The 10,644-nt window shown below is 43.1% G+C and overlaps 1 annotated feature.

Annotated features, from left to right (window-relative positions):
• Nucleotides 8,547-8,696: an enhancer, noted in NCBI's record as "active region_9215". NCBI's record gives its function as "activates an Ori minimal core promoter by ATAC-STARR-seq in GM12878 lymphoblastoid cells {active_cell/tissue: GM12878}" and the evidence as "EXISTENCE:reporter gene assay evidence [ECO:0000049][PMID:35858748]".

Raw genomic sequence — 10,644 nt, 5'->3', positions numbered from 1 at the left:
TACCATAATGCCCTGATGCTGCATCCAATTTCTTAACCCCAGGGACCTCCAGGGCATCCAAGCTCATCCAGAGTTTATCAAGATCCATCAGGGAGCAGCAAGCCCCACTAGGGAAGGAGGTGGAGGTAGGGGAGTTACCATCTACTGAGAATGTATCACGCTGCAAAAGCTGGAGTTGTATTATCCCATCAAACGCTCACAAGCACTCCAGGAGTATATATTCTTCATTTTGCGTACGAAAAACTAATGATGAAAAAGTTTAACGAACATGCTAAGCCACATGTTTCAAGTTTGGATCTCAAGTTAAATGCCATGCTCTTTCCACTGCATCACAGGCTCCAATTTTGGAGCATGGGCACAGGGCATGGGAACATGAGAAATTTTAGGAGTTGATTTTTTATCTTAAAAATCAAGAATAAGTCAGCATTGATTTTAAATTTTTCTTACATATAACACTTTGGAAAGAATGTAGAAAACTTAATAAAGGATAGGAACATGGAAGATATGGAATCAGGTAAGAAATTTACTGCAATATTCCAGGAGAGAGTTGATAAGGGCTGGAAATAAGTTGTCTACCAGCTAGGATTCCTTCATTTTGAACAACATAAACAAACGAAAACATCCATTCAAACCCTCTAGCTACTTTGAAAGAGCTTTCATTGGAAGGGTTTGGTGGGCTCACATGATTGACAGAAAGCAGGACAGCCAGGCCTGTGAATGTACCACAACCAAGGAGAGAGACCCTGGTGTAGCAAGACCAGTCTGGTTGGGATGCTTCTGCCACCACCCTGCCCTCAGTGGCTTCCAACCATTCTTCTACCCTTCCACCCCTTAGTCAAGTTTCAGAGACCTGGATCAGAGCAGCTAGTTGGCCAAATTTAGGTTACATGCCAAAGATCTAGTTTGAGGAATGGGCAAGGAGGAAGGATCTTGCACTCTGGGATTCCATAGTGGAATGCATGTACTGGAATTACTTCCCAACAAGTGGACACACAATCAGTGAGAGCTATCCCCCAGTGGAAATCAGAGTACTACTCAGAAGATGGAATGGATGCTGAGCAGCCAAAAGCTGATCAATGCTCAGAAGAAGTGCTGACAGTGGATCAGAGGAAGAGAAAATGGCATTTGAAGTACCATAGGCATCAAACACTTACTGAGAGCCTACGATGTGTAAGGCAGTAGGCGAGTGTGACTGGAGACATACGGAAGTATAAAGCACTGACTTGGATTTAAAAGGCTCACACAGAAAAGAGGATCTAAACACCAGAAAATAAATGACAACATTAAGTCATATATATCATGTGCCAGATAAATGGTATGGATAACAACACCTATGAGATTCAGAGAATGGAAAGATTACCAAATCTAAAGTAATTTGGAAAGTCACCTTAGATGCAGTGGAACTTAAATTGTATTTAGGATTTAGGCCACCTAACAGAAAAAGAGAGCTCTCTATGCAGGGAGGATGATCTGAGCAGAGGCATGGAGATGCAACATCCAAAGTACATTTAGGAATCAATTGATACACAGTTGTCTAAGCAAAAGAATTCGTATGAGAAATCCTTTCTGACTGAGAGAATGATATTTAAAATCCAATAAAAGTACATTTTCCCATTTCTTCTTCTGTAGCTGACCTTGTTTAATCACTCAGGAGTTCTATTTCTCAAGACTTTAGGGAGGAAAGTAAGGAAGGTGTTGTATTTGTAGGACTGAGGGGTTGGGCTCAAATATGTCAGTGGTTGTGAGAGAAGAAAGAAAGCAGACCTGAGAGAGACCTGCATTGCGTTCCAAGTTCCGGACTCCCCTTCCTGGACCAGGGCCAGGCTGGCTTGGGCCAAACTCATCCAGGTCATTGTCAGGATGCCTGATGCCCTAATCTACCCTGACTGCCCCATTATCCTCCCTGCTCTTTCTCCTTTCCATCATTCAACAACATTGTCTCTCACCAACCTCCAGAGCCAAGCCCCAGGAAGAGGGGTGAATCTAAAACAAGGAGAGAAGCCTGGATCCTCCTGGATTCTGGCCCGCCAATGGCAGAGGTCTTTTTAGAACCAGATCTAATGGGACCACTGCTCCACTCTAGGGCTTGCTCATCTTCAGCATTCCCACTTCCCATAAGTGGTACTGCAGATGGGGTAAAAAGACAACATGCTTGGCTACAGTGAATAATCCTGCAATGAACATAGGAGTGCTCATATCTCTTCAAGTTCCTGATTTCAATTTTTTTTTTGGATAAATACCCAGAAATGGGATTGCTGGATCATGTAATTCTATTTTTAAATTTTTTTTAGAAACTTCTATATATTTTTTTACATAGCAACTGTGTCTTTTTGCATGTCCACCAACAGTGTGCAAAAGTTTCAATTTCTATATATCCAATACTTGCCAACACTTATTATCTTTTGTTTTTGTGTAATACATAATATCCATTCTAACAGATGGGAGGTGATATCTTATTGTGGTTTTATTTGCATTTCTCTAAGGATTAGTGACATTGAGCATTTTTTCATAAACCTGTTGATTATTTGTATGTCTTATTTGGAGAAATGCCTATTCAAGTCTTTAGACCACTTTTAATTGGGTTATTAGCTGTTTTTTTTCTTACTATTGTATTGTAAGAACAACCTAAATATCTATCAACAGATAAGTGGATAAAAAGTGTGGTATATACATATGATGGAACACTATTCAGCCTTAAAAAGGAAGAAAATCCTAACATATATAACAACATCGATGTAACCCCAAGGTCATTATGCTAAGTGAAACAAGCCAGCTGCAGAAAAACAAATACTTCTTTATTCTACTTCTATGAGGTATCAAAGATAGTCAAATTCATAGAATCAAAGAGTGGAATGGTAGTTTTCCAGGGCTGGAAGGAGGAACAAATGGGGAGATACTAACCAAAGGGCGTAAAGATTCAGTCAAGTAAGATGAATAAGCTCTAGGGATCTTCTACACAACATTGTACCTATAGTCAACAATGACATATCATGTGTTAAGAGGCTAGATCTCATGTTAAGTGCTCTTACCACAATGAAATAATAAAATGACAATGTAATAATTACATCTCCAGCTGCTTACTTGTAGGAATCAGTCAAGCCTTCAGAGAGTCCTGCCAGCAGTTCTAGATGCCTGCATTTCCAGACACCTACAGACATCAGGAGGTGGCCAACTGCTCATTTTTCAATTTTTCCCTTTCCCAGTTCTGGGGCATGATGCACCAAGCTCAGTACATTGCATCCATCAAACAGGGCTGCAGAGGGTCAAGATGTGCACCAACTGCAGGCATACAGGAAGCATTAACAATGGGTTTTTCCTTTAAAGAGACTCAGAAGAGTGCAGGGAGCATTTTTCCCATAAGAAAGAGACAGCTCAGGCAGCTTGCTTCCTTCTATCGTCTTATTTTTACTGTGAATCATGGTAGCATTCGTCACTTTTAAAACCTAAACCCCAATTTGCCACCAACGTGAAGGGTATTTAAGTGCTTTCCATGTTTCTAATTCTTTACAACATTCAGCAGGCTAATCTGGAGAAGCCAGAGATGTAGGTCAGGCCCTCAAGCAGCTCAGTGGAGATACAAGATCTAACTGCATGAAGTTCAACACTGAGATACCCCTGGGATAGTGTATTAATCCATTCTCACGCTGCTATAAAGTACTGCCTGAGACTGTGTAATTTATGAAGGAAAGGGGTTTAATTGACTCACAGTTCTGCACGGGTGGGGAGGCCTCAGGAAACTTACAATCATGATGAAAGGGGAAGCAAACAGGTCTTTCTTCACATGGCAGCAGGAAGAAGTAGTGCCTAGCAAAAGAGGGAGAAGCCCCTTATAAAACCATCAGATCTCATGGGAACTCACTATCACAAGAATAGCATGAGGGTAACTGCCCCCATGATTAAATTACCTCCCACCAGGTCCATCCCACAACACGTGGGGATTATGGGAACTACAATTCAAGGTGAAATTTGGGTGGGGATACACAGCCAAACTGTATCAGGTACCTAATTCCTTTCATTGACCATCTGGTTTATTATGCATGAGGAGCCACACAACACTTGGGCAAGTTGGAATGAAACCAAAATAAGGCTTGTATAATTCACCATACAATTATGACAGAATTTGATGCAGATAAAATTATAAAAATACAAAAATAAATAAATAACTACATTTCATAACAGAACATTCCAAATATCCTCTGCACCGTGATTGTACTAGATTGATTAAAAATTACACTATTCACACTGTGACTTTGTAGCTCTTCCCATTAAGAAATGAAGTCTATCACCTTACTCCTTGAATTCAGACTTGGCAATGTGACTTGGTTTGTCTAAGAGAAGTGAAGGTGTTGGTATTCCACTTCCACTTCCAAGCCTAGGCTCCAGGGGCCCAGCATGTTTCTGCTAGCACTTTTAGAACCCTGTCTCCATCATGCAAACAATCGCAGGCTAGACTGCTAGATAATGAGAGATTAGGTGCAACAACTGGGATGCTAGGCCAGCAGCCTCAAGTGACTTGGCAACTGACCACAGACACATGAGTGATCCCGGCTCACATGGGAAAGACCACCAGCCCAGATTTTGAACCTATAAAAATGTAAGCTAAATACATGGTTTTTTATGTCAGTGATTTATGGGTTGGTTTGTTATACAGTGATAGGTAACTGATACAATTCCTCTTAGGTTTTGATACCCTATTTCTTCTTGGACCTCAGGAATCAATGCTATTGTTCCATCCACAGCTACACTATCACCACTCTACACAACTGCCCCATGGTCCCTGCACATGATATTAATACATCCAGGTCACTTCTGAATCTTACAGTTAACATGTCTGAGATTTCTATTTAGTCTTGCCAATCCTTACTTTTCATCCCCGCTATCATCAGGCCTCTATTTCATTTGCTGGACATTGGAAATGTGTCCTAATTGGTCTTGCTTCTAGTTTTTTCTTGTTCTAGCCAATCTCACTCTCTATTGGTTTGGTCTGACAATGCCACTTTGTACGTCGCATCTTGTCTTTCTGTGGTCCCTCACTGTCTAGAGAATTAGGTTGAATTTAAGGTCAGGATGAAACAAAAATAAATGGTATTGAATACCCACTATGTGCCACACAAAGTTGAATAAGATACAGAAGCGTAAGTCTACTTAGATTGAAAAACGCACTCTTTAATCCAATTCCATTCCACCTCTACAGATTCCCACTCCACAACTTACCTACCTAAAACATCTGCCCCACCTCTTAAACATGAAGCTACTCTGGCATTTTTGTTCATGTGAGTTATCCCAAATCCACTGCCTAAAATGCCCTCTCTACATTTCCCAGCGTCTGTCTTCCTTCAATGCCCAATTTGAGTCCTAACTCTTCTGAAACTTTCTCCTACTGCCCCCCATCCAGGTCATCTCTCTCTTCAGTATCTCTTGCCTCAATTCTTTCATGCTTCCTTAGCTGTCAGCTGGGGCATCTGTATGGCCGGTCACTACACTAGCCTTGAGACCAGGGACCATGACTTATCCCCCTCCAGCACCCAGCACAGTGCCAGACCCACATGCCTGAGGGTGATAGTAATACTAGGTCACAAAGGACTAAAAAGCTCTTTCCCAAGACAATATAAAGTGTTGGCTCTCCTGCCTTTAAATAAAAGTCTTAATTTTATATGCTTAATTTTATGTATTTGTTTTGATTTTTAAAAAGCACAGACCCTCACCATCCCTGCCATGACTCACAAGGAGTCAGGTAAAAGAAGGGACGCTTCCTAACATGTATTAGGTTGATGCAAAAGTAATTGTGGTTTTTACCATTGATAGCTACCACTTACTGAACACTCACTAAGTGCCAGGCACCACCATGCACATTTCATTTGTATTTTCATACTTAAATTTTACAACATCCCATGTGGTACACATTATTACCTCCATTTTATAATAAAGGAAACTATTAGCACGATTGAATATTCTATCAAAAATCCCACAGCCAGCAGGGACAGAGTTAGGAGTCAGCCCTCTTCTGCCCAAGCCCAAAGCATGTGTTCTTAAGTAAGCTATCATGCCCCTGATTTCTGTGATTCTTTTGATCTTAGGACATATGAAGCTGCCTTTTATCATTATTGTACCTCCCCATCAATAGTCCTTATCTTCTAGCCTGGTTTATAGTTCCATGGAACCTAGCTAACCTAGTACTTCATGCAGCAGACAGAATTATGCCCCCACCCCAAAGATGTCCATGTCTTCATTCCCAGAACCTGTGAATATATGTTATATGGCATGCGGGAATGGAGACTGCAGATGGAACTAAGGTTGTTCATTAGCTGGCCTAGAGATGGGGAGACTATGCGGCATTATCCAATGGGCCCGTGCAATCACAGGGGTCTTTGTCACTGAAAGAGGGAGGCAGGAGGGTCAGGGAAGGAAGTGTGAAAGCAGAAGCAGAGATCAGAGTGATCCAATTGCTGGGGGGCTGGGGCCCAAAGCCATAGGGTGCGGGTGGCCTCTAGAAGCTGGAAAAGGTAAAGAAACAGATTTTCCCCTGCACCCTCCAAAAAGAATGTTTAGTTTTAGCCCAGTGAGACCCATTTCAGACTCCTGACCTCCAGAGCTATAAGGTAATAAATCTGTGTCCTTTTGAGCCACTGAGCTTGGGGTAATTTGTTATAGAAGCAACAGGGAATGATTATACCTTTCCATAGAAACAATTAGGGCCAATTTATGGTCTGATACTTTGTCAAGACTTCTCTCAGGAGTTACAGTCTGAATAATTATAAGGAATTTTTAAATTCAACCTCTATTACTGAGGCATCATAAATTGTTTCTACAATTAAACTGGAGAAAGTTTTTGAAGAGCCACTTCAAAAACGTCTAAAAAGAAAGGCAGAGAGCTGACCCCTCTCTCCTCTCCTGTGCTCATACGCTGGGTAGAAATATGCTCCATTCAAGTTCTGATTAGCTGAGATTTCCTGTGGAACTAATGTGCTCTTGCTAGTTTCTAAATGATGTTTTTCTCCTCCCAGTAAAATCAAGAACTGCCAATAAGGTGCAGGCCAGTTGCTGGGCCCGCTCTCTCTCACACATACCATATACACAAATAGGAAGATGGTCTCCGTGGCTATAATTTCCTGGCCAGCAAGTGTCTTGGGTTTCACTTCAGTGGTTAATGATGTGTCCACCCGGGCGCCTTGGCATGGGGCATTTCCAACCTTCAATTAAAGGACTATCATTTACTCTATATATTAACATCCAGAACAATAAACACAGTGGAACACAGTCATTAGAGGCAGCCATAATCCATGGCCTGCTGTGTACTGATGTCAACCCTGCTGCGTTTGACATCTGAAATAATCCCAAAGAAAGCACTGCATTTTCAAAGCCGGGACTACGTTAAGGATATCCACCCCTGGCTGCATTCCATCTTTCCACCTCCATCTTCCAATCTATCAACATCTTGGTTCAATCTCAGAGTTAAAAACCCCTTGTCTTTCACAGAAAGACATCCAGGCTAACCTTCTCTTTTGCTGGGAAGAATGCCACCAGTTTTCAGTTGACTGAACCTAGTGGGCCTTCACTGTAATAATAAAACCAATCCTGGATAAATCGTAATTCCTAATCTAAAGGATGTCAGAATGAAGTCGGATTGAAGACATACCACCGACACAAAACAAACAACCCTGAGCATGGGGTGCGCAAAGAAAGCAGAGAGATACAGAAAACCAGCAAAAGAAAAGTTGTCTCAAACTTAGCCGAAATGTGGAGCCACATGAAAAGTGCAGTAATTCTTCCTTCACCTCAGGGCTCATGTCTGTTGCATCTTTTCAACACAGCACAATTGTGATTTCTAGGGGTCCAGCTACCTAGATTTTTTGAGCTGAACTCTTTCTTCAAGGGGATGCAAAATTAAAACAATTCAAAACCTCCTCTGCCAGGGAGTGGGGGTGGCAGGAAAGGGGAATCTCGGGGTGTTTATTGTACACTGACAGGTTGAACAGGAGAGAGGTACTTGGGTCACTGAGGCGATGGAAAGATGCTGTACAGTTAGATGGGAAGCAAGAACACAAAGAAAGCCTTTTCAGCAGACCAGGGGACTGCAGGGCCCAACAACCTCTAAGACTGGGATAAAAGCAGGCTTTATTCATTCAGGAGACTGCAGCAACTGCCTACTGCCTGACTGGTAAATCTCATCCCAGCACCGTCCCTGAGAGGGGGTCTAATCTGATTGGTTGTCCCATTTAATCTGCGGCATCCCGATTGGGAGGTGCTGTTAGACTTGCCCACTTCACAGGCAGGGGCCACCTCCACGGAGCCCGTAGAGGCTGCCTGCAGCTGAGCCACCAATGCCCGGCCTGTTGGGTGGCAGCGGAGCCAGCAAATTACCAGACACAGCACAAGGAAACGCCATGCACCAGAGCAGCATTCCTCAGAAGGAGACTTGGGAACACAGCAGGCAGGCAGATGCCCTGTGTGCCTGTGTGTATATATCTTTAAAATCAAATGGAAGTGACACTACTCTTCTGAGTTACCTATGCCATTATTCCTCTTCACCAATTGTTTTTCATTTTGCCTTTTTTTCTTTGGATAAAGTTTTATGCACCATGCTTGGGTTGCAGAAGCAGATCCAAAGAAGTCTCAGCACACCACCCGATTCTCTGAGCACAGGCTCTGGGGACTTTTTGGAAATGACTGTGCCTCAATGCAGAGAGAGGGTTTTTCCAAGTTACCAAGTGCACTTTCTGTTCTTAACACCCAGGGGGGCGTGGAGAAAGTGAGAGGATCTGTGGTGGCTTCCTGGGCGTGCCCATGGAAAGTGCTTACTCTTCTTTGCACACCTCACACCTGGGTCCCTGGTCCACTCACAAACCTGGTAGATTCACTCTTTCGAACCATTCTGGCCGGCTGTACCTGTGGGCTTTCACTGTGCGTGGCCGCCCCCTGCTGGAACAGCCTGGAACTGACCGCCAGTGACACCTAGGGCCGACACCTGGCCAGCGCAGGGAGGTGTGAGAGAACAGATTGTCAAGTTCATTCCATGGCATTCATTCCAGAGGGAGCCACTAAACTGGCCTTGACACACAGGAATCTGTTTAATAATCCTGTGGAGACCTAAAGTCTACAAATCCCTATGGTAACTCCTCTGAGAGTTTAATCACCCTCTCTCAGAAATATTTTCCCTATTTGTGATCTGAACGATGTTTCTGTTTAATTTCCAACTGATCTGATTTAATCAGGGATGAAAAGCAGCTGCTGTCATTTCTCTGGGCAAAAGCCCTTTATAGGCCTGGAGAAAGATTAACGAATGTGCCTCACTTCCCAGGAAAAGTCCTAAGCTTTACTTTCCTTTAATATGACTTTATTTAGCCTATTTTTAAATGCGTTATCTCTGTGGCTCTCTTCTGAATGCTCTCATCTTCTCCACATTTCTCCTTACTTAGGGACATGATGCCCCTAGTGAGAATCTGGCTGAAGCCAAGTATGATGCTGATACTCTCATGTGTACCCCTCTAGATGACCACTTTTTTGGCAAATATTTTTTAAGCACCTACTATGCGTGAGGCACACAGGTAAGGTCCCTGTGGGTTATAGATGGACTCATGGACTTTCCAAAAAGCAGGAGAAGCTAGTCCTAGAATGCCTGCACACAGATCACTCTAATTGTGTATAAGATAGGAGGAGGCAACAGTGTAACTGGAGACCAGCAAACAGGGAGAATGCTTTCAGCCAGTGTGTATGGAAGGTTTCATGGAGATGTGGGAACTGAACTGGTCTTTGAAGGATATGTAGAATTCGGCTGGACCAGAGAAGGGGAAACAGCATTCCATGCAGAGAGGACAGCCTGAGGAAAGCTCCAGAGGCAGAGGACACAGGGCATAGATCTGATGAGCTGGAAGTGGTTGCATTTGAGTAAGTCAACAGGGACTACAGAAAACATCCACTGGGCCAGGTTGTGGAGGCCTTCCCTATAATGGGAAGGCAATAAAGAATCCAGAGGCTGCCTTCACTTCTTAGAACTCCTGTTTGATTTTATTAACTTGAAGATAGCTTGTTTTTCACCATGCTGATCCTAAATCATTCTCAGCTGTTCTTAGCGTCACTATGTCCCCATCTAGTATTGGCTCTTGATTTTGATTCGTTTGCTCCAAGTCCCTGTTTGGGTATTACTCTGTTGTTTCTCGATTTCCGAGAAATCTGTCTTGCCCTGGCTTATGCACTCCCACTTTCTTAACCCAACCTTTGGTAAGATCGGTTGCAGCTGACCAGCTCTGTCATCTCATTTCTTTCCCTGAAGCAGTGGGTCTTTGATACTCCCTCGTTCCCTTTAGGAGACTTCGAAAGGCAGGACACCTGCAAGTGACACGCTGGGCAAGTTGCCTGCCCATTGTGGCCTTAGTGTTCTCATTTCTTAAAAGAGAAGGGAGGCACCTCTTTGACCTCTACAAGCATTTCTGAAGCTTACGCTCCATAAGGCAATAACCTCAACTATTTCTGTCCACAGGCCATACCCCCAGCAGCCATTTCCATGGAATAGTTTCATCTTTCCTGGAAGAATGTGCCGATGAAATTGACTGAAAATGGACTTTGAAACAAATTGGACCTGCTGGAAAGTCAACCAGCTTTGAGGTATTTATTTCCAACTGGGATGAGAATAGAGGAAAAGATGAG

This window comes from Homo sapiens, chromosome 15, assembly GCF_000001405.40.
Source record: "Homo sapiens chromosome 15, GRCh38.p14 Primary Assembly".
Taxonomy (NCBI): Eukaryota; Metazoa; Chordata; class Mammalia; order Primates; family Hominidae; genus Homo; species Homo sapiens.
The sequence above is the reverse complement of the archived record's forward strand: the minus strand, read 5'-3'. Positions and strand labels throughout refer to the sequence as shown.